The sequence below is a fragment of the Homo sapiens genome, chromosome 5 (genome assembly GCF_000001405.40).
Source record: "Homo sapiens chromosome 5, GRCh38.p14 Primary Assembly".
NCBI lineage: Eukaryota > Metazoa > Chordata > Mammalia > Primates > Hominidae > Homo > Homo sapiens.
Window position 1 is genome coordinate 138,645,975 of NC_000005.10, and position 23,026 is coordinate 138,669,000.

The window sequence follows — 23,026 nt, forward strand, 5'->3', positions numbered from 1 at the left end:
GATTGCCTCCCAAGGGGACCATGGTAGAGCAAGCAGTGGTGATGGAGGAGGGTCCCGTTGGCCTTTGAAAGCAGGAGAACCCTTGCCCGTGGGCTGGGCCAGGAGCTGCAGCATCTGGCATGCTGGGAAATTGTGGAGGAGCCCTCCTTTGCCCCCACTCCATCCCCACCTGACAGGGAAGGAAGCTTTGATGCTGTTTTCTCGCCCACAGGGGACTGGGGTTTGTAAAACAAACTCACAGCCTGCAGGAAAACAGATCCTGGAACAGCCCAAACAGAAAGGCAGGGGCTGCTTGCTGTGGCCCAAAGCCCCTGCCTCCCTGCTCAGTCTCAGATGTGTGCCTCCACCTTGGCATTCTGTCTGGGCTTCCTGTCAGTCCCCGCTCTCTCTCCATCCTCACTGTGAATCTTGCAGGGCTACAGTTGCCTTGGTAACATGATGGGAAGCTCTTGAGGTTTTCTGGAACCAGAGAAGGCTGTGGAGGGAGGACTCAGGCTCTGTTGGGCTGCTTGTCACAAAGGGAAGAAACCACTCCAGTGCTCCTGCCCCTGCCAGTCCTTCCTTGGGTCTGACCTCAACCTCTTCTGTTGCATCTGCAGGAGCTTTGTTTGGGTGGCCTATAGGGCTGGGCCTGAGAGGAGGGAGCTGTCACATACTGCTCTGTCCTTGGAGTTGACTGCCACTGTCACCAGAGCTAAATTCCTACTTGCTACCATGACCTGGCCCTGTAGCCCTAATTGGTTTTATGAAGTTCAATGCCTGTTTTTTATGAGACAGATAATTATGATGCGGGGAGGTCAGGTCCTCCTCTGCTGGACCTGGCGGGGTCTCCAGAATTGCTGATTCTCCAATCGGCTCCAGGCAGACTGATGGGATCAGGGTGAGCCGAGTGCAGCCAGGCTGTGGAAGGAGAGCGAGTCTCCACTTTCCAGTCTCTGACGGGATCAGGGAGGAAAACGTGCACCGCCTGCCCCGTGAAGAAGCCCATGCCTGTGAAGTGGGCACCTGTGATGCCGTCCCTCGTGGGTATGAGGGATAACAGGCAGTGGGGTGGGAGGGGCAGCTCTCTCAGGCTAGAGGAATCCAACATGGGGCTGCCTGCGGCTCCGCGAAGAAATCCTCAATCTTTGACACTACGGGCACCCCGTGAAGATGTTTTTTTCCTCCATCTCTCCTTCTAGTCTTCTTCCTTTCCTTTCTCCCACAGTCTCAGTTCGAAATATGGCCTATTTCTTCCCTATGTCTATGTCAGTTTCCGTAACTGGTATCTCTCCCTGCCCCCCAATCCGCCCCCACCCTCCCCAGGTGAGAGTTGACTTGCTGTGCCCTGGAGGGCAGTTCTAGGAGGGTGGAGATGGAGGGGAGGGCAGGGCAAGCTGTTCTGCTGACACTGGATGGCTCCCCTCCGATCCTCCTGGTCAGGAAGACCGCGGCAGGTAGAGGCTTCCATGCTTCGCTCCAGGCTGGGAGCAGCTGTCCACAATTGTGCCTCCCAGATGGGGTGAGAGGTTGGCCCCATCCCTAGAACAGGCCACACAGCTGTGTGCCCTGTGTGTTTGACCCACTCATGGCAGACACAGAACTGCACTTTCAGACTAAGCCAGTTGTTGGGTGTGGCTGTGGGACAGGATGACCTCAGGAAGACCCTTACACATTCCACAGATTACCAAGTTCCCAGCTTCCCTTGCTTTCTGACTCAGTGGCCAATTCCTCAGGAGTTGCCTTCTCTTTAGAGTAAGGCCAATCTTGCAGGAAAGAAGGGAGGAGTGAGACTGGGGCCCAGGTAAGAAGGGCCTGGGGTCCCTGACTGCAGAGGCCAGCTCCTCTCTATCCCTCCTCCATTTAATTAGCTAATGTCTGTAAAGGGCTGGGCAATGGAAAAGCCCTATACAAATGTTGAGCACAATTTCATTTCCAAGACTAGACAAGAATATATTTGCAGACTTGAGCAAAAGGTCACTGGGCCTGCCTGGGACAGAGGGAGGACTCCCTGCAGGCCCCAGAGGGAGGATGACCCTGAAAGACTGGGGCAGGAGAAGGAGAGGCCACAGTGGGGGCCGGCATGCCTGCCTCCTTGGTCTTTAAGCTGGGTCTCTTGGTACCATGCCTGCCTTGCACTGTCCCCGTTCCTTGTGAATCCCAGGGTCCTAGAAGCTTACCCCTCTCTGCAGGGACCACCCTCAGAGACTTTCCACCAGAAGATTATGCTAATATCCACAACAGCTGATGTTTATTGAGTATTCACTGCATGCCAGGCTGTGCTAGAGGCCAGAGTGCTCCGGCTTGGGGAGACGTGGCTGCCTCTCTGCAGCAGGTGAAGGAGCTTTTCCAGTGAGGGAGCCCCTGCATGCTGCAGACTCTGCCTGAAATCTCTCCGAAACCTTTGGGAGATTGGTATCACTTATCTTCTCTGACCAATGAGAACAGTTCCTGGTTTTGTGATCTCCCAAGTCCCTGGTGTGGATGTTCTGTGAGCTTCTGAATTCTCCTCTCCTTTCCCCACTGACAACTCACCTGGCCCTACACTCATTATGAAAGAATATTGAGGCCAATTAGCCTTGACAAGCTTCATGCCCAAGGGGCAGCTTTCAAGTTTCTGGTCCTCTAAGACCTGCTCAGGCCACCTATGTGTCTCTGCCCACTCAGAATTCTAGGAGCAGCTCCCCTCTCCATCTCTGGGCAGGACCTGGCTTTGAGTAAGGGCTAGAGTGAAGGAGACTGGGAGAGGGGAATAGCCAGCTTTAGCCTCACAGCCCCGTAGTCAAGGGGAGTCCTCTGGGAGGGCGAGAAGAATAGCAAAGCAGGGAATGGAAGGTTCAGGAAGAGGCAGGCGGGACAGGGAAGGGAAATGGAGAATGTGTTTCCAACATCCCCTGGGTTTCCTCTGTCCCTGTCTCCTTCCCCCACTGAAAGAGGAATGGAGCTGGCTGGCCTTTCTGGGAGGCATAGTCCTCTAGCCTCCCAACCCTACCAGCCTCCTCTCTGTCCCCAACTGCTCCTTCTCTGGCTTCTCTCCAGAGCCCAGGGCCTCCCTGTGTCATCAGTTCATTATCATTCTGATAAAAGTCATTAGTCCTTGAAAAAGCATGATTCCCCAGCTGAGGCCAGCCCCCGCTAACCTGGGGAGGAATACAGATGGATGGAGATGTGGGGGTGGGGACAGACAGAGGCACAAACACAATGACACTTGTTTCCAGGAGGTGTGTAAATGGACACAAACCCACTGGTGCACACGGCCACACACCTTTACACACAGGCCCAGGGATGTCTCACATGGTCACCAGAGAGCCCACAGGGCTACATCACTGGAGGCACACTCAGCTGCTTCCAGTCCCAGAGAATCACTCGACACTGAGACCCAGCACCCAGCAGCCTCAGCCTCCTGGAAACACAGAAGCTGGGCTCCGCAGACTCTGGGGGCGGGGGCAGGGAGTGGAATATGGAGGCCAAGGTTAGAGATCTCCGAGTTCCATTAGCCACAAGAAGCGTGTCCGGAATCTAAAAGTGCAGGGACAAGGGCGCTGCAGAGCCGGTTCCTGACAGTGTGTCCCCATTTCCCACCCCTTCCACCACTGGGAAGCTCCTCCCTGTCAGCAAAGCCATTTAGGGATTAGAGCAGCTCCCTCAGTAAAAGCTGCTTATTCAAAAGGTGCTTTCAGTTCATTTGCATTCACTTCATGGATATTATAATGCGTGGAGGAGCTTCCTCCTCAGTCCCTCTTTGCTGTCCCCAGATTGAGTCCCTGGCCCATGCAAGGTATCAGTTTGGGCTGGGCCAAGCTTTCCAGTGACCTGGGGATCTTGTCAGGGAGTGGGAGGTGATAAACACTGACCATTAACCCCTGGTCCTCAGAAGGCAGCTCCGGGGACAGCTAGGAGGGGTCACAACTGGAGTTTTCCCAAGGGAGAGGAAGGAGGCCAAGGTCTGGAGAGGCCTCTCAATTCCCCCGGGGTCATAAGCCTGGTCTCCTAGGGAAGGAGGAATCTGCCCAGCTGCTGTCTGCAGATGGGGCTGCCACAGGGGAGCAGGCAGAGTCAGCCTCAGCTTTGAAGACCTTCTCTTTGGCAGCCACCCCACCCCGGCTCCATGCATTCAGTTCATTCAAAGAGTATTTAACTAACACCATGATGTGTGAAGCTTGATGCTAAGTAACTGGAATACAGTGTTGACCAGGCAATGTGGCCCCTGCCTTCACAGAGCTTCCACTCCAGGAGTGAAAACCCACAAAAAATGAAGACACAAGACAATATGGAATAATATGAATTATACCTAGTACCATAACAAACAGGGCGCTAAGATAGAAAGTAATAGGTCAGGGCCGGGGGACCGTCTTCAGATGGGGTGATCAGTAAATGGTGGACACATAACACACCTGCAGTTGAGGCTTCAGGGAGCCAGCTTCGCACGACTGCACTCCAGCCGGGGCAACTCTGTCTCCTAAAAAAGAAAAAAAAAAAAAGGAAGAAAGAAAAATTTCTTTCTTTCTGTGTGTGTGTGTGTGTGTGTGTGGTTTTTTTTTTTTTTTTTGAGACAGAGTTTTGATCTGTCACTCAGGCTGGAATGCAGTGGCACAATCTCGGCTCACTGCAACCTCCTCCTCTGGGTTTTAGGAGATTCTCCTGCCTCAGCCTCCCAAGTAGCTGGGATTACAGGCATATGGCACCATGCCTCGATAATTTTTGTATTTTTAGTAGAGACAGGGTTTCACCAGGTGATCCGCCTGCCTCGGTCTCCCAAAGTGCTGGGATTACAGGCATGAGCCACAATGCCTGGCCAAGAATTTCTTTCTTGATTTGTCCTTTTATCACCTCAAAGGTGCATCATGGGATTTCCCATCCCAGCTCAGGGGAAAGGCATGGCTGTGCCTCTTCATCCCCAGATCAGCCTATGGCGAGGCTGCCGTCTTTTGGACACTCCAGTGAACGTGCCCACCTGCCTGCTCTGGCACATCTGACAAGGCTGGAAAGAAGTTGCCATTTTCGGGGAGGGGTCAGTTTCAATGCCTTCCCACCAATTGGTCCGGAGCATGTCCACAGTTCTGTACACTGGGGAGCATCCAGTTCAGGCTTGGCTGAGTCAGGCAGATCCAGAGCTGCCCACCCCTCTCCCCAGGCCAGGGCTCCAGAGACCCTAGAGCCATTTCCAGCTTCCCTGCTGCTCCTCTCACCATCAATCAGGGGCTGGGATGTCAGAATCAGGACTGGGGGAAGCCACTCACATCCTGAACCACCCCCCAGGGACATAGGAATATGAGGCGAGGATCCTGAGCTCGAACATTTACAGGTAGCATTCAGGATTGAAAACTGATTTATAGTCTGAAGGCAGGCAGGAGGGAGCGGGAGGAAGGTGGGAGCTCTGTGTACAGTGCAGCCTTGTGGGGCGGCGGTAATTATATATTACGTTGAACTGTCCTTGCAGCACGGTGAAGGGCAGTGGGAATGAGACTCTAAATCACGCTTCCGTGATGCTCCCCATAGCTCACCTCCCTGTATGTGGCCCCAGAGGCCAGGGCTGACACTTCTCCCTTCTCCCCAGCCCCAGCACCACCGCCTGCCCCCACCCCCACACACACAGAGCCCAGTGGCAGGGCCAGCCTGACTGACTGGGGGAGAGCAGGAAGATGGGATGTGAGCAACTCTGGCAGCTTCCAGGGGCTGCTCATCCTGCAGGCCTCATTGTTTATTGCCCCCGCAGCCGCCAGCACTTCCCACTCTCTACCCCGCTTCTTCCACTGGGGCCTGTATGTGCGCTGTGTTGTTTGAAAAAGACATCCCTGTCCTTCCTTCATTCATTCTCCCCTGTAGCATCTCTCTTCTTTACACCACAGCCACACAGCCACCACCTTGGTTCGAGTGGGGCCTCATCACTTCTCACCTGGATTTCTGCCACCATCTCCTAACCAGTCTCCCTCTAGCGTGCCCCTACTCTTAGTCCATCATCCTTTACCTCGTTGCCATGGTAATCTCCCTAAACACACCTCTGACCATAATCTTGATCTCATTTGTCTGGGAAGTGGGGATTGTCCCTGCTGATACAATAGCTTTGTGCTCGTGAGCTATTATTATTATTATTATTATTATTATATATTTTTGAGACAGAGTCTCGCTCTGTAGCCCAGGCTGGAGTGCAGTGGCACGATCTCAGCTCACTGCAACCTCTGCCTTCTGGGTTCAAGCAATTCTTCTGCCTCAGCCTCCTGAGGCGCTGGGACTACAGACGTGCGCCACAACACCCGGCTAATTGTTGTATTTTTAGTAGAGACGGGGTTTAGCTATGTTGGTCAGGCTGGTCTCAAACACCTGTCCTCAAGTGATCCACCTGTCTCAGCCTCCCAAAGTGCTGGGATTACAGGCGTGAGCCATCATGCTTGACTGTAAGCTATTATTACTGTAATTAGACATCTCTGAGCCTCAGTTTACTTGCCTGTAAGTAAGGAGTGGGGAGAGGTGGTCAGATGTTGGTTCCTGAAAGGAACCAACACGTTCCAGCTTCTTTAAGAAGTCTACCCGGGCTCTTGGCGGGCTGGTGCCTGCTGGCTCACCTCCCGCCCTGTGCTTTCAGTCCAGGAGGAACCCTGGTACTCATCTGTCCTGAGGGGCCATTTCCATGACTAGACCCTGATCCTTACGGTCAGTCACCTGGACTTCCCACCAATCTCCTGCCCCTCCATCTAGGCTTTGAGTTCCTGGTTCAGAGGGACATATTAGTGCTTAGTGGTGATGAGAAACGGGTCAGACAGGTCAGGGCTTGAAGTCTAGCCCATGACGGTGCACAAGGTTTTGGAGTGGCGTACTGATTGAGAGCGAGGACTCAGCCGCCAGACTGCTTGCTTGAGTTCGGATCTTGGCTGGGCTACTCTTTAGTTTGGCTAACCTCTCTGTGCAGTTTCCCTGTTTCTAAAATGAGGATAATAATTGTACCCACCTCATAGAATTGTTGTACAGATTAAATGAGTGAACATATGTGATTGTTCTTGCTGATACAATAGCTTTGTGCTTTTGAGCTATTATTATTGTAATTAGACTTCTCTGAGCCTCAGTTTACTTGTCTGTAACACATCTCCATAATACCTTTCCTTCCTGCTTCAGGGTTATTGTGAAGATCAAATGACACATTCCCTTTGGAAACTCTTAAAGGCTTTACAAAGGTAAGATTATTATTATTTATTATCAGATACTTGTTCCTTGGGGTTCTCCGCCACATTCCCTTTAGAAACAAAGCAGTTTCCTTCACCCTTCTCTTGCCCCAGTCTCAAGGCAGAAAACCGTGGTGTCTTGGAAACAGGAGCAGCCATGGGGTCTCCCTCCACCTAGGAAAAGGGGCGCATAAAGCTGTGCACACAGACACATCTCTGACAGAGATTATTTCAAAGGAGGCTGCTAATTAAACCAAGAACAGAGAGCTTGTCAACATTTTACACAATTATCCCCTTCACTGCAGAGGTGAACCCAGGTTTTGTGGAGCCCAAAGCTTATACAATTTGGGGGGCCCTCTTTAAGAAAAAAAATACAAGATGATGAATATGAAATTAAGTGCAGGGTTTCGAAGGGGCCTGTGCAAATGAGGAGCACTGCCACCCAAGCTTCATTAGCTTCACAGAAAATCCACCTCTGCCACCAGGCCAGGTATGCATTTGACAAGGACTTGTTGGTTAGTTGCTTATGGCCAAAACAAACCGTTTTTTACCAACCACAGGCAGGCCAGGATCTCTAGAGGGCAGGAGCGCACAGCCTGCACCCAGACTCCAGAAGTCACCCTGTTACCAGGCTGTGGCTCCTCCACTGCCTTCACCTCAGTCTAATTGTTCCTTTTTCAAGACCCACCACCTATTTATTTTTGCTTTCAACACATTTGCATGTGATTTACATAGCATTAATATTCAGTCTCATGTTGGGAACTCTTCCTCTGCCCCGGCTTAAGCTAGATTCCTGGGACTTGGTTACCAAGTGAGATGCAACTTTCTCTCTTCTCAAAATGTAGAGGGAAAGAAATATACATCTAATTTGGGGGAGGGTGGGAGAAGGGACAGTGATGACATTTGTCTTGAAGTCAGTTTCTAGTCTCTGGCCCTCCTAGTCTATGTCTTCCTCCATATATCCCCACTGTCCCTACCCACAACCCACAACCCAATTCCACCCCAGTTTTCCTCTGATTATGAAATTGGAAGCTCACCTTCTCAAGGACACACATTCCTACCCAAATTCTGGGCTTACTGGGGCTCAAGGGTGCAGCCTCTGAAGTGAAGAGGCACATGGCATCGAGGTGCCAGCAGACAAGAGCACACAGGGATTCTTCCTCAGGTCCCCCTCTGGGAGAATCAGCCCCTTCCAGTCCCCCTGCACTGTTTGGAGGCCCAGTTTATGTGATCCCCCGACTGACGGAAACAGATGGCAGGTGGGAGTATGTGTGAGTGTGAGTGAGTGTGTGTGTGTGCATGCACGTGAGCTGTACATACATAAAAGAAATGTGCACACATGTGTGAGACAGAGAATGCCCACGTGCACATGAGTACACCCCCCCCCCCACCGCCACAAGACAGGCAGAGGAGGAGGAGGTGAGGATGTGGGAAGGAAATTCTCGGTTTAAAAAAACCACATTGTGGTTCTAAATGTCATCAAAGGTGAAACTTGCTTCCTTAGCCCTGCCCTATAAAGGGAGGCAAAAAGAAGTCAGCAAGGCAAGAAAAGGTCTCAGGGCAGGGATGGGGCAGTTCTAGTGTCAACAGTGACATCACTCTCCCAGACCCCTCCGCTGAGTGGTGAGTCACCAGAGCCCACTCAATACCACAGTCTTTATGCAGTCATGAGCCGGCTCATGCTTCCATCTCCATGTGGCCTAGGCCTCACCCCCATGGTCCCCTGGGCCTGAGCTACCCCAGCCCTGGGGCTTTGCTCTCTTTTAAGCCTCTATCAGAGAAGGCAGGGGTCCCTTCTCTGGGTAAGGCAATCAGAGACATAAATGAGAGACAAGAGAAAGAGAGACTCTTCTGTATGTGAGGGGGGTTTGGGAACAGAAGTTGAAAAGTTGCAAAACCAGTCTGAGGAAGAGGCAGAAAAAAGAGAATGGAAAAGAGAGAGTGAGAAGAGAAAGAAGAAAGAGGGAACTGGGGTTGAAGAAAAGAGCCGGGTGTGGTGGCTTACGCCTATAATCCCAGCACTTTGGGAGGCCGAGGTGGGTGGATCACGAGGTCAGGGGTTTGAGACCAGCCTGGCCAACATGGAGAAACCCCATCTCTACTAAAAATACAAAAATTAGCTGGGGGTGGTGGCGGGCACCTGTAATCCCAGCTACTCAGGAGACTGAAGCAGGAGAATTGCTTGTACCCGGGAGGCAGAGGCTGCAGTGAGCCAAGATCGCGCCACTGCACTCCAGCCTGTGTGACAGAGTGAGACTGTCTTGGGGGGGAAAAGAAAGAAGAAGAAGAAGAAGAAAAGAAGCAGGGTGAGGTAAAGCTGACAGCTGTGAATTCTCACTTCTCAGGATTTTAGGATTGCTACTCCATTTTCCTGGCCCTCTGATCTTTTATGGGTCCCCCAGGTCTAGTGATGTAGAAGGAAGTCCAATACTGTAACCAGCACCTCTGGGAGAGGACTCCCAGTGTCTATGGTATCATCACCACCTACCCTGACACATCTCAGCTTGGTCCCACCCTCCTTGTCAGAGATAGGGGTTGGAGGGTTTAGACATCGGTGGGGGAAGCAGTTGTGGTGGCTCACGTCTGTAATCCCAGCACTTTAGGAGGCCAAGGTGGGAGGATTACTTGAGGCCAGGAATTCAAGACCAGCCTGGGCAACATAGTGAGACCCCATCTCTATAAAAAACAAAAAAAGAAAAGACAAGAAATTGGGGCTGGGAGCAAAAAGTGAGAGGCACAAAAGGGAAGGCAGTACCCACTGGGGCAGCTCTGGTTTCTCTCTCAGGACCTCAGTTTTTTCCCAAGACCTTGGCACCTGCCCAACCATTGTTCCTTCTGGCCTGGCCCTCATGCTCAGTGGCAGCCTGAGCGTCATCCCTTGTCACTGATGGGAATCAGAACAGGGGCCCCTTTATCTGACAGTGAGAGCGACTCTGCCCAGTCTCCGTGACTCGAATTTCCCAAGATGCTGCTTATTCCTGATGTAAACTGAGCTGCTCCAAGGAAATCAAAGCCTATATCTGAGTCAACAAGACAGCACCAGAGTGGCAAGACTAGGCCCTCATGAGATCACAGATGGCTTCTGTTAGAGACCCCTGTCTGGGGATTTCTTCTCCTACTCACTGTGGTTGCCTGTCTCTACAAACAAAAGACTGCTCTTCAATTCCCTCTTCTTGACTCCCCATCACCAACATAGTGATAACAATAATAGCAACCATTTACTGGGTGCCCAATATATGCCAGAAAACTTGGTAAGTTTCTTTCTCTGTCTCTTTCTTCCTATTGAGACAAAGTCTCACTTGTTGGCCAGGCTGGAGTGCAATGGTGAGATCATAGCTCACTGCAACCTCAAACTCCCACCTCAGCCTACCGAGTAGCTGGGACCAAAGGTATTTGATACGGCACACAGCTGATTTTTAAATTTTTAGTGGAGGCAAGGTCTTGCAATGTTCCCACGCTGGTCTTGAACTCCTAGCCTCAAGTGATTCTCCCACCTCAGCCTTCCGAAGTGTTGGGATTACAGGCACGAGCCACAACACCTGGCTGGTAAGTTTCTTATGTACATTATTTCATTGAATGCTGCAACAACATTATGGAATAATCACCATTGTGGAGCGTGGAGGAGGAAACCAAGGACTCCAGAAGTTGCCTAAGATTTCACAGCTTGAGATGGAGCTGAAATGTGAACCCAGATCTGTCTAAATTCAAATCCTCGGCTTTCCACTTTGCTTATTTTTATCTTCCCTGCCTCAACAATACATCCTCCTTTTGGGTTTTGAGGTGCAATTCAAATCTTTTATCTCCCGGAAGTATTCATCCACTCCTCCCTACCTCAGCTCTTGCTCTCACCTGCACCATCCTTAGGAGGCCCCTATGCTGTCCCTCCTGCTGGCTCAGGTTAGATATGGAGTTCCTCCTGTGGTCCCTGGGGCTGAGGTGGTGAAAAAAATAGTGGTCAGGCCCTCAGTTCCCACTCTCCAGGGAGGAGGAGGGGAAGGTGAATGTGGCTGGCATTTCGCACTAGGAACAACCACACGCAGTTGTTGGAGAGGTTTAGGGGCCTGTGGTGCCTTGGGTTCTGGTTCCCATCAGGAGACAACTGGCCAGGCTCCAGAGCCCCACAAATGGGAGTAAAAGAATGTGGAAAACTACCGGGTCCTCCAGGAAGCTTGGAGTGGGGCAAAGGTGGAACAAGAGCTCCGTTTCCGCCAGGACCTGTGTCCCTAAGAAGGCTGATGCTGTTATTTACCCACAGGGAAGTCACAATTTCTAATGCTTGAGACAGAGGCAGCCTTCATTTCTAAACCTGTGTCCCTCAGGGAAGGGGACCTGTTTCAGACCTTGGAAGCCTCCCAGGCACCTCCTGATGAGCTTGGTAGAAACAGTGTGCAGCTATGGCTTTCAGGCCGTCCCAGAGCCACTTCCCACCAGACACCGTTTCCAGGCCCATGGCCAAGGGCATGTTCTGGAACTACACCGGAAGACTCTACAGACCAGATATCCCTCAGAGACTCTGTCAGCAAGTGAGGGAGAGATCTGCAAAGAGAAAGAAGAGCAGGGCAAAGACAACTGGATGTGCTGGCCCAGGAAGAGGAGCAGCCACACAGGGACAGAGAGTGGAAACCTGGAGATGAAGCAACGCAGCAGAGAACAGCCACCCTCCCTTCCCTGGGGTCTGGGCACTAGCGAGGCAAGGTGGCATTAGGCATGATTTAGGGCAACCCATCTTTTAAATATATGGGAGTTGGCCAGGCACAATGGCTTACAGCTGCAATCCCAGCACTTTGGGAGGCCGAGGCAGATGGATCACCTGAGGTCAGGAGTTTGAGACCAGCCTGGCCAACATAGTGAAACCCCGTCTCCACCAAAAATACAAAAATTAGGTGGGCATGGTGGTGCACGCCTGTAATCCCAGCTACTTGGGAGGCCGAGGCAGGAGAATCGCTTGAACTTGGGAGGCAGAGGTTACAGTGAGCCAAGATTGCACCCTTGCACTCTGGCCTGGAAGACAGAGCAAGACTCCATCTCAAAAAAAAAAAAAAAAAAAGAAAGAAAATAGGCCAGGCGAGGTGGCTCAAGCCTGTAATCCCAGCAATTTGGGAGGCCGAGGCAGGCAGATCACCTGAGGTCAGGAGTTCGAGACCAGCCTGGACAACATGGTGAAACCCTGTCTCTACTAAAAATACAAAAATTAGCCGGGTGTGGTGGCACATGCCTGTAATCCCAGCTACTCAGGAGGCTGAGGCAGGAGAATAACTTGAACTCAGGAGGCAGAGGTTGCTGTGAGCCAAGATTGCGCCATTGCACTCCAGCCTCGGAGACAGAGGGTGACTCCATCTCAAAAAAAATAAAAATAAAAAAATTAAAAAGTAAATAAAATAAAATAAAAATAAATAAATATAAGGGAGTTGAGGCTCAGAGGGTGGACAGGAACTGCCCTAGATCATGCCACTCCTGAGTGAGTCTCCCATTCAGTGTTCTGGGAGCAATGAGAAGAAGGGGTGCTGGCTCCGCTGTCTTCTGGGAAGCAAGGGGACTTGAAGGGGAGGGGTCACAGTTTCTCCACCCCCACCAGACTGCACCTCCCGAAGGACCTCAGAGGCTTCTATCTCTCATCTATGAAATGTGCGGGGCCCTCAGTTCCTTGTTAATAAAAGTGAGGATGAGAACACCTGCTTTCCTTCCGTGTAGGGCTCCTGTGAGGCTCTGCTGGAAATAATGCATGGAGAAGAGCTTTGTAAGTGCAGGGTGTTATTAAGTTTGTGATTAGGCCAGGTCAGCGAGGGCTGCAGGAATAATGGGAGGATTAATGCCCAGGACGTGGCAAGGAGGAGGCTAAACTCTGCCCCATCCTCCTCCCTCGGTCACCTGCCCTGAGAAAAAGCATTTGGTGTTTCCAAATTGACTGAAATAAGAAATGTGTGGTGGCAGCAGCCTTCTCTCACTCAGCCTTCATTTGCCCAAGGCAGAGAGATTTTAATTTTCGAGCCATAATGAGAAAAAGAAACTCAGGATTAAAGAATATTCCAGTGAAGCAGTCAAAATAGCTGCCCAGACTCTGAATCAAGCCGAGAAATATAAATTAAAAACTCCATCTCCCTCTAGCATCAGCTGGGCTTGAAGATGCCAGGCTGAGTGGCTGGCAAGGGTTCTTGCAACCCAGGTCCTGGGGTCAGCTGGCGGGCAGGCCCCACCCCAGGGTGCTGATGGGACAGGGAACCAGAGACGCACCCACCCACTCACAGGAGAGATTTACCTCCACCAAGGCTGGCTCCCCCAAGCTACAAGCCTCCTGAGTCAGGTCAGGCCCTGAATGTTGAGCTCAGGAAGTGGGGGGTGACTCCCTGGCCCCCACTGTTTAGTCTCCTAAGGCACAGAGATGCTGCTGTCTGCTCTTGTTTGCTCTTCTCCCAAATGCTGGCTCACATGCTGCAAACCTCTTTTTGTTTCCCCGAACTCAGGCCAGTGGTCCTGGGAGTGGGAAGGAGCTGCCTGAGAAGGGGGGCACCTGAGCCTTCAGCCCGGATTCTTCTGAGCTTCAGTCTGTTCCCAAGGGAATGCCCTTCCAAATGCACTTGCACTCAGGATGGTGGGAATGACAAGGAGCCCTGAGAAAGGTGTGTGAGCCCCAGGGCCAGGCCATACCGTTCCCTGCCCACTTGAAGCCTCACATCCCATGGCTCCCCAAAACTGAACATCTCTTGCCCCACCCAGCCCTACTATCTTCTTGATTGCCTTTGACCATCTCCTTTCTCCTTCTCCTTTTCTCATCTACTTATCCAAGAAATATTGACTGTGTGGCCTACTGTGTGCCAGGATCTGTGCAGGGTTTAGTGGCTACAGAAATAAACCAAACCCAATTCCTGTTGACAGGCAGAAAAGAAAGACAGGTGGCCTGAGGATTATAATATAGCACAGAACACACTGGGCAGTGGAGTTGGGTGGGTGACCAAAAACTCTGGAGTCAGACTGATCTGGTTCAAGAACTGTCTCCATCTCCTACTTCTTACAGTAAGACCTCAGGCAAATTGTCTAGCCTTGATAAGATGCAGTTTATTCATCTGTAAATTGGGGATGATAATGCTTTATAGGATTGCTGTGAAGATGAAATGACATAATCTTGGTAAACTAGTTGGAACAGTGGCCAGCATATGGCAAACACTCGTTAAAGGCCAGTTGGTATTATTGTAAGTGTCTTAATGACAACACTGACATTCATTACTCTGTATTGGGTGCTCACTCTGAGCCAGCCAGGGTGCCATGCCTACAGCAGTGACTCAACTGTGGTCCTTGTCCTGAAGAGTTCACAATCTATTAGAGGTGACAGATATGTAAACGGATGACTGAAAAAGTGCAATCACTGCCATTATCACTCGAAAAACCGTCATTTTTTGAGCCCTGATCATGTGCCAAGTACAATGCAAAGTTTTAAAGATACATTACCTTTAACTCCTTGCTAACCCTGTGAGGGATCTATCATCTCCATTTTACAGAGGTCCCATAATCATTAGTAACTTGTTCAAGATCAGGCCATTTGCAGAATGAAGTATTGACTCAAAGGAGAGCAATTAGCTAGACCTGAAAAGGGATCAGATCTGAGAAGGCTTCAAAGAAGAGGTGATCCTGTTTTTTTACAGACAGGGTCTTGCTCTGTCACCCAGGCTGGAGTGCAATGGCAAGATCATGGCTCACTGCAGCCTCAGACTCCTGGGCTCAAGTGATTCTCCCAAGTAGCCGAGACTATAGGCATGTGCCACTGTGCCTGACTAATATTTAAATTTTTGTAGAGAGAGTGTCTCACTTTGTTGCCCAGGCTGGTCTGGAACTCCTGGGCTCAAGCAATTCTCCCGCTTCTGCCTCCCGAAGTGCTGGGATTACAGGCAGGAACCACCACATCTGGCCAAACCGGTGATCTTTGATCAGGATTTTGAAGAATGAGTAGTTTTCCAGAAGCCAAGACTGGGGAGGAATGGCATAGCACCACACTTCTGTGGGCCTGCGGGAGCACTGGAGCTTCAAGCAGCATCCACAGGAGTTCCCAGGCCTAGAGGTCCTTATGTCCCTAACAGCCATTCGGTCGTGTGCCTCAACACCACATTATAGCCTAAATCAAAGGAGGGTGATTATTTTAGACAGATTCTAGTCAACAGCTTGAACCCGGAGGATTTCAGCTGAATCATGGAGCTGAAATAACTGCATGGAGTTGAAGTCCCTCATCCCCCCTGTCCAGGTGCCCAGCAAGTCAGGGGGTGTGGGTTGGGCTCCCTAGGAAGCTGGGAGGCCACAGACTGGGCTGGAGTCAGGGAGACAGTCTCAGTGACCTTGGGAACACTCCACCAGATTTGGGGCAGAAAAAAATGAAATCTGTTCCTGCATTTCAGTCCTTTCGCTTCCGCTTTCTGCCTGTTCACTCCCCTCATTTCCTGCCCACAGTCACAGGGGAGGCGGCCATCTTGGCGCAGTGGCAGGTCTGGAGGCTGGAGCCAGGATGTGGCGCTGGAATCCATCTATCTGGCTGGTTCCACACCCAGGGAAACCTGGACTCATCATCATTAGCATTCTGTTTCCTTGCCCCGAGCAAGGAGGCGCAGGGCAACAGCATAGAGGGGGCACGCCTAGAGCAAAGCAGCCCTCAGAGCTCAGAGCCCGAGTCTCAGGGCCACCCATCCTCAGCCAGCGCAGGGAGGCACTTCCGCGAGGCGCTTCCGGCGTAGTGCAGGGTTGGAGGAAGACCTTGGGGGTAACTCTAGGACCATAACGTGGTGAGGCTTTGGTGCTTGCGACGGACAGATTGCAGATGGCTCTCCAAACACCTGTCCGTATAATGTGGTTTTGCAGGAAAGGGGATGGATAAGGTCCCTCCCTGAGGCGGACCTACCCTCCACCCGCTCCTTGAAGCAGCTCCAGCAGCCTCACAGGCCTAATTCATTCCTCACGTTAAGAAGCAGCCCTGGGAGAGAAGAGCCCCTACAGAGCAGGAAGCACGTGCATATTCCAATAAAGCACTCAAAGAGGTAATTATTTCTGGGCTGCCTATCCCAGCCCAGAGAACCAGCAGCCAAATTTCCAGAGCTGCTGTCGTTGCCTCTGGCTGTTGGCAAAATTAAACTTCTTGAGAAATCAGAATGAGCTGGCCCCCAGCGTGAGGGGTTGGAATTATTCCCCTGACCTGGGCCCTCTGTGTGGAGCTGGGTGTGGGTGGGGACAGGGGGAGATTATGGAGGAAGGGAGTGGGTTGTAGGCTTCCATGAGATAGCACATGCCTGTTCTGTGTACACATTGAAACACACATGGAGGCCAGGCATGGTGTAATTGCAGCACTTTGGTAGGCTGGGGTGGGAGGATTGCTTTAGCTCAGGAGTTCAAGACCAGCCTGGGCAACATAGCAAGATCTCATCTCTACAAATAATTTAAAAATTAGCCAGGCATGGTGACGCATGCTTATGGTCCCAGCCACTTGGGAGGCTGAGGTGGGGGGAATCGCTGGAGCCTGGGTGGTTGAGGCGGTAGTGAGCCGTGATCATGCCACTGCACTCCAGCCTGGTGACAGAGGGAAACCCTGTCTCAAAACAAAGAAAAAGAAAAAAGAAACGTGTGGAGTGGGTACTAAGTCTGCCTGTCACACACTGGGATGTTATGCACAGTAATGGCAGGGCCCACTGCCACTCCTCCAGCACCCAGGACAGCGCCTGGCACATAGTAGATGCTCAGTAGATACTGATTACTGAGTGAATGTGCTAGATCTCATGATAAATGCGGTGAGACTCTTCCCTAGCCTTTCATCCAGCACGGGTTCCATGCAGGTACCTTGAGAAACACATCAATACCCTACCTCCTCATCCTTCCCATGGAATGATGCTATGGGACTCTTAGTAAATGCCCCACAAAGTGAGAGATGGGCTCCTTGAGACATGTAGGGGTGGCAGTGCCCTGATTGGGCACCCCACAAAAGGGAGGCACCATCTGATGCCTCAAACCACAACTTCCTCTTCCACCCACGTCAGAAATATTTGCCTGCCTTGCTTCCACCCTCTTCTCAGGCAAATACCACTCACCCCTCCTATCTCCAGCTGCCATCTCCATCCTCATGATGTGTCTCTCTTACTGTACCAGGCACCTCTTGTGCACCACAACCAGCTCCACGCTGGCTTCAACCTGTTCATGCGTGATCTGGCAGTGCCACACCCGCAGGCCCCTGAATTTACGCCCCTGCTCTTTGCCCCAGGGCTTCTCTGTTGGCAGGAAACTGCCTGGCTTTCCTGCTTGGGCAGCCCAGTGGTGCAGGGCAGTTAATTCCTTGGGGGAAACTCTTGGCAAGGGGGGGCAGGAACCACTGGATAAATGCTTCTCTCTTTCTTGCCCTGGGTGGACAGTTGCGAATTCTTCATGAAGCTTTTCAGAATGCTCCCTGGTTGCTTGAAGCTGTGACCAACTCAAAAACTCTTCTCCTTTGGGCTCTCTTCTGTCGTCACCTGCTCCCTGGATCACAGCCTTTGATCAGGGTCAACTTTCAGGGGAGGTTGGCTTAAATCTCCCTGACTTCCCTCTGCCCTCTCTGCCTCATCCACCCCGGTTTCCTTTTAGTTCTTCAGCTCTTTCCCACACCAGGCCTTGCCAACAAGCTTTCCATATTCCCTGGAGTGCCTTTCTCTCTGCTTGGGAAATCTCTCAGCTGAGACTTGCATGACCGGAAGGAAGCAGTCACAAGAACATCGGGGAGAAAAAGAGTTCCAGGCAGAGGGAACAGCCAAGGCAAGAGCACTGAGGTAGGAGTGAAGTTGGCATGCTCAGGGCAGAGCAGGAGGGCCTTTGTGGCTTCAGCAGAGTGAGAGAAAGAGGGGCATAGAGTGCAGTTGGAGAGACCATGTGCAGTTTTGTGGGCCACAGTAGGCCGTCTGGATTGTATTGTATTGTATTGTATTGTATTGTATTGTATTGTATTGTATTGTATTTTTTGAGACGGAGTCTCGCTCTGTCACCTAGGCTGGAGTGCAGTGGTGTGATCTCAGCTCACTGCAGCCTCCCCGCCCCCCAGTTCAAGAGATTCTTGTCCCTCAGCCTCCCGAGTAGCTGGGATTACAGTTGCCCGCCACCACGCCCAGCTAATTTTTGTACTTTTGTAGAGACGGGGTTTCGCCCTGTTGGCCAGGCTGGTCTGGAACTCCTGACCTCAGGTGATCTGCCTACCTCAGCCTCCCAAAGTGCAGGGATTACAGGTGTGAGCCACTGCACCCGGCCGTAAGTCTGCATTTTAAATACATCAGGTAATAAGCTCCATGAAGGCGGGGATTCTGCTTGTCTGATTCACTGCTGGTGCCCTGTATGTAGCAGGCACTTAGTGAATGTTTGTGAAATGAATGGATGAACAGCTTACCTTTATCTGTATCCATGTCCTAGCCACCCCTCCCCCACACAAGGTGACAGAGTAGTCTTCAACGATCACAGCTTTCAGGAGGGAGAGAAGCAGGTTGTAGGAGGAGGCTGGTTGTGTTTTCTCCTAAGAGAATCCTTTGGGAGTGAGAGCCGCGCTGGCTCTGGGTGCTGACTCCTCTCCTCTCCTGTTTTCTCCCACTTTCAATTCTGATCCCGTTGCTCAATTCTCTGCTCCCGCTAGGCTCTGCTCCTGACACCATTAGTCACCTCCCTCTGTTCTCAGCTTCCTTAATGAGCATCTGTCTTGCCTTCAGTCTGAAACAGGCCTGCCCCTGCCTGCTGCTTCCTGGGAAAACCAAGGTCTGGGGCGGGAGTGCAAGGCTCAGAGAAGGCTCCCAATCTTTCTCCCTGCTCCTCACCATGCTCTGAGCAAGAGGTAGTGGGTGGGGGCAGAAAAAAGGATTACCTCTGGGCAAAGGAAGAGGTAAGTGGAAGACTGCTGAAGTTCAGGGGAAGGTTATAAAAGAGCCCTGGCTTCCCTGCTACGAAGAGTCCATGGAGGACAGAGTTGCACACTTTTCATTAACAAGACAAGGAATCGGCTGAGATGGCAGCAGAAGGAACAGAAGCAAAGCAGGGTCCAAAGAACCCATCCTTGGGGGCAGCTGAGGCCACAGGGCCTCTCCTCAGCTGAAGGCCTTTCTTGGGTTGGCCAGTCTCAGCCCTACTACTATTCTCCATGTGTGGAGGCAGGGAGGTGACAGAATAACCTCTTAAGGGCTCTGCCAAACACCAGAGAACACTTGATTGAGATTCCTTGACTGTTGTTCTCTCTGAGGCAGCCCTGGGCAAGCAAGGGGCTCAGCAAGGGGCCAAGGTGATAGGGGGCTTCCATGCTGCTGTGCTATAGTAAGAGGTTGTTCCACCAGGGGCCTGCAGAAAAAAGGTGGCTCCTTCAGAGGGTAAGCTGAGGAGAGGCTAATGAAAAGACTAGTGACAGGCGACTGGGGCTGCAGGAAACTACGAGGGCCGGGAGGCACCCAGGGCCTGGCTGCAGAAGAAAGCCCTTAGCACCTGGAGGCTGGAAGGGGTAAGAGGAGGCATGGTGGGTTTTTTGGTTCGTTCGTTTGTTTGTTTGTTTTAAGACAGAGTCTCACTCTGTCACCCAGGCTGGAGTGCAGTGGTGCGATCTCGGCTCACTACAACCTCCGCCTCCTGGGTTCAAGTGAGTCTTCCGCCTCAGCCTCCCGAGTAGCTGGGACTACAGGTGTGCATCACCACACCTGGCTAGTTTTTGTATTTTTAGTGCAGATGGGGTTTTACCATGTTGGCCAGGCTGGTCTCGAACTCCTGACCTCAAGTGATCTGCCCGCCTTGGCCTCCCAAAATGCTGGGATTACAAGTGTGAGCCACTGTGCCTGGGCGTGGTATTGGCAGAACTTGGTGACAGCTGTGGCTGGGGGAGAGCTGTTGCCCTGTGGGAGCTGTGGCCTTCTACAGAGGAAGGCAGCTGCTGCCAACACCCAGGCCCAGCAGTGGGGCTGAGGGTGTGGAATGAGTGCCCTGACCTCTTTCTCATCCCATCAGCTAGTCTCCTGCCAGTGGCTTCCATTGGCCAAACCCAACAGGAAGCTGAGGGCAAGAAGCCAGGGCAGTAAGTCCACAGAGGTCAGCTTCCTGTGGCTCTGAGCAGGGCAGGGAAGAATGGAGAGTGAATCTAGAACCTTCTTGTCTCCTCCTCCTGATGTCACATTCTTGTAAGCCCACTCCTCCCTGGTTCCTGAAGAGCCTACAAGTCCCTTTGCAACCTGTGCTCAGAACTCATTCCACCTCTCAGACTGAGCTGGGCCAGGTCTGGACAAGGCTCAGGGAGGCTCCAACCACAAGGAGAAGATTTCGGTTGCCCTGAGTCTACCTCTGCCCCCGCTGTACAGCATCAGGATCCCAGATGGTCCCATTTTCCTCGTGCCAGGCTTTAGGAACAGGCAGGCTTGGTAATTACACTTTCCTAACAAACCCCCGCCCCCGTTTGACTCTCTTTCAATTGCATGAAGCAGGAGGTTTCTCCCTACTTCTCCCCTGCGTGAGCACTGGCCTCTGCCTCTGATCTTCTGAAATTCCATGTGGTGTGAGGGGCCTGGGGAAGCCGGGGGAACGCCTGACCCTCTTGGCATCCTGGAGATTGAGAATGGGCTTACTGTCCATGCTTGCCATATCCCAGGAAAAGCCAAGTCCCTCCCTCCTCCCACTTTGGAACTATTAAATTATTCAGTTTCATGGGTTCACTTCTCAACACTGGCCTGGGGTTCCCACCTAGAACCTTTTTTTTTTTCTTGAGATGGAGTCTCGCTCTGTTGCGCAGTCTGGAGTACAACGGCGTGATCTCAGCTCACTGCAGCCACTTAGAACCTTAACAGCCCCTTCTTCCACACCAGCTCACATCTCACCCTAACAGTCCTGAAGGCCCCTAAGGGAGGAATTTGAAGTAGACTCTGGGCTCTGAGGCCTAGGGATCCAGTCACAAGGGTACACCTATCAGTTCAGGTAACTGCTCCATCCTCCCGCTCTCCCCAGCCTGCAGCACCAACTGGGCCCTAGGTTTTCCCAGTGCACACGTCCTGTAATGGAGAGCCACTGTTTTGGCCTGCTCAGTATCCATTTGCCTTGGCATCAGCTTTGGAGATTTGGCTTGGGGCAACTGTTTCAGCTGCTGTAATCTTGGTGGACTGTCAATGAAGGCTACCTCCATTCCCTGGCTAAGGGATTGGCATGTGACCCAAGCTAGGCCAATCAGATGCTCTCTCCTCCTTGAATCCTTTTTTTTTTTTAAATAGAGATGGGGCTGGGCGTGGTGGCTCATGCCTGTAATCCCAGCACTTTGGGAGGCCAAGACAGGAAGATCACCTGAGGTTAGGAGTTTGAGACCAGTCTGGCCAACATGGTGAAACCACATATCTACTAAAAATACAAAAATTAGCCAGGCGTGGTGGCAAGCGCCTGTAATCCCAGCTACTAGGGAGGATGAGGCAGGAGAATTACTTGAGCCTGGGAGGCAGAGGCTGCGGTGAGCAGAGACTGCACTCCAGCCTTGGCAACAAAGTGAGACTCTGGTTAAAAATAAATAAATAAATAAATAAATTAATTAATTAAGTAAGTAAAATAGAGATGGACTTTCGTTCTGTTGCCCAGGCTGATCTCAAATTCCTGGGCTCAAGGGACCCTCTCACCTCAGCCTCCCAAAGTGCTGGCATTACAGACATAAACCACTGTGCCTGGCCACCTCCTTGAATCTGAAATGGAATGACATGAAAATGGGACCCAGTGTAGTGGCTCACACCTGTCATCTCAGCACTTTGGGAGGACTAGGCAGGAGGATTGCTTGAGGCCAAGAGTTCAAGACCAGCCTGGGCAACATAGCAAGACCTGTCTCTATGAAAGAAAGAAAGAAAGAAAGAGAGAGAGAGAGAGAGAGAGAGAGAGAGGAAGGAAGGAAGGAGAGAAAGAAAGAAAGAAAAGAAAGAAAGAGAAAGAAAGAAAGGAGAAAGAGAAGGAAGGAAGGAAAGAAAGAAAGAGAAAGAAAGAAGGAAGGAAGGAAGGAAAGAAAGAAAGAAGGAAGGATGGAATTAATGTATCCCCAAGGCGGCACCATAAAGGGATTGTTCCATAGCCCTTGATTTCAATGTCCTGCTTCCTCCTATTTCTGGGACAGCCTCTTTAGCATTTTCTTTGATTCTGTGAGCCACCCTCATTTCTTTCTAATACGATCATTTTTTGCTTAAGTTAGCTAGAGTTTTTCTGTTGCTGGAAACCAAAGCCTCCTCACCCATACAAATTTCACCTTCTTAGAGGAGCAGAGGGATATGCCCCTGTGGTGGGCTCATATTTGGAGTCTCTGGCAGGGGTTCAAATCTCACCTGGTCCTGGAATGAGAGGAAAGAGAGCCCTGCTGCTAGTGGGTGCTGTCACACCTCGCCTCAGGCCAGTCTTTGTGGCCAGTTTTGCCAGGATCCACTCCCAGCCTAACCTCCAGGTCTCAACACTGAGCCCACAGCCTGAAATAGCTAAGTTTACCCCCATGACTCCCTATCACAAGTGCTACAAATGGCTCAGGCTGGTGTCATGGTTATTTTCCACAAATAGCCATCTCATTCCTGTGCTGTGCCCTTGCTCGTGGTGTTCTGGGACACCTTATCTCAGGGTAAGCTGGGCCCCCCGTGCCCTCTGCCCCGGCCCCTCCCGTGCCTTCAGACCTTAGGCCACATCCTGCCTCTTCTGAACCAACACTTCACTGGGTTCCCTCTGATGTGGGATGGGCAGAGCAAGTGATTTGTGTGGTTGAGCTCTGTTTCCTTTGTAGACTTTAGTCTTTGAGGACTTGACTACAAGCTCCAAGTGCCTTGTTACTTTTCTTGCTTGGACCTCAGTGTCAAGCAGGAGGCTGGGCACACAGTGAATGATCATGTTGATTTCTCCACCCATAGTTTGAAAATTGTTCCCACCCTGTGATTCATATTCTT

The 23,026-nt window shown here is 51.5% G+C and overlaps 3 annotated features.

The window, feature by feature from the left end:
- Positions 4,518 to 5,316: an enhancer, noted in NCBI's record as "H3K4me1 hESC enhancer chr5:137986181-137986979 (GRCh37/hg19 assembly coordinates)". NCBI's record gives its function as "activates a minimal SCP1, AML or CMV promoter by ChIP-STARR-seq in naive H9 embryonic stem cells {active_cell/tissue: H9 hESC(naive)}" and the evidence as "EXISTENCE:reporter gene assay evidence [ECO:0000049][PMID:30033119]".
- Positions 19,762 to 20,262: an enhancer, noted in NCBI's record as "H3K4me1 hESC enhancer chr5:138001425-138001925 (GRCh37/hg19 assembly coordinates)". NCBI's record gives its function as "activates a minimal SCP1, AML or CMV promoter by ChIP-STARR-seq in naive H9 embryonic stem cells {active_cell/tissue: H9 hESC(naive)}" and the evidence as "EXISTENCE:reporter gene assay evidence [ECO:0000049][PMID:30033119]".
- Positions 22,770 to 22,819: a silencer, noted in NCBI's record as "silent region_16402". NCBI's record gives its function as "represses an Ori minimal core promoter by ATAC-STARR-seq in GM12878 lymphoblastoid cells {active_cell/tissue: GM12878}" and the evidence as "EXISTENCE:reporter gene assay evidence [ECO:0000049][PMID:35858748]".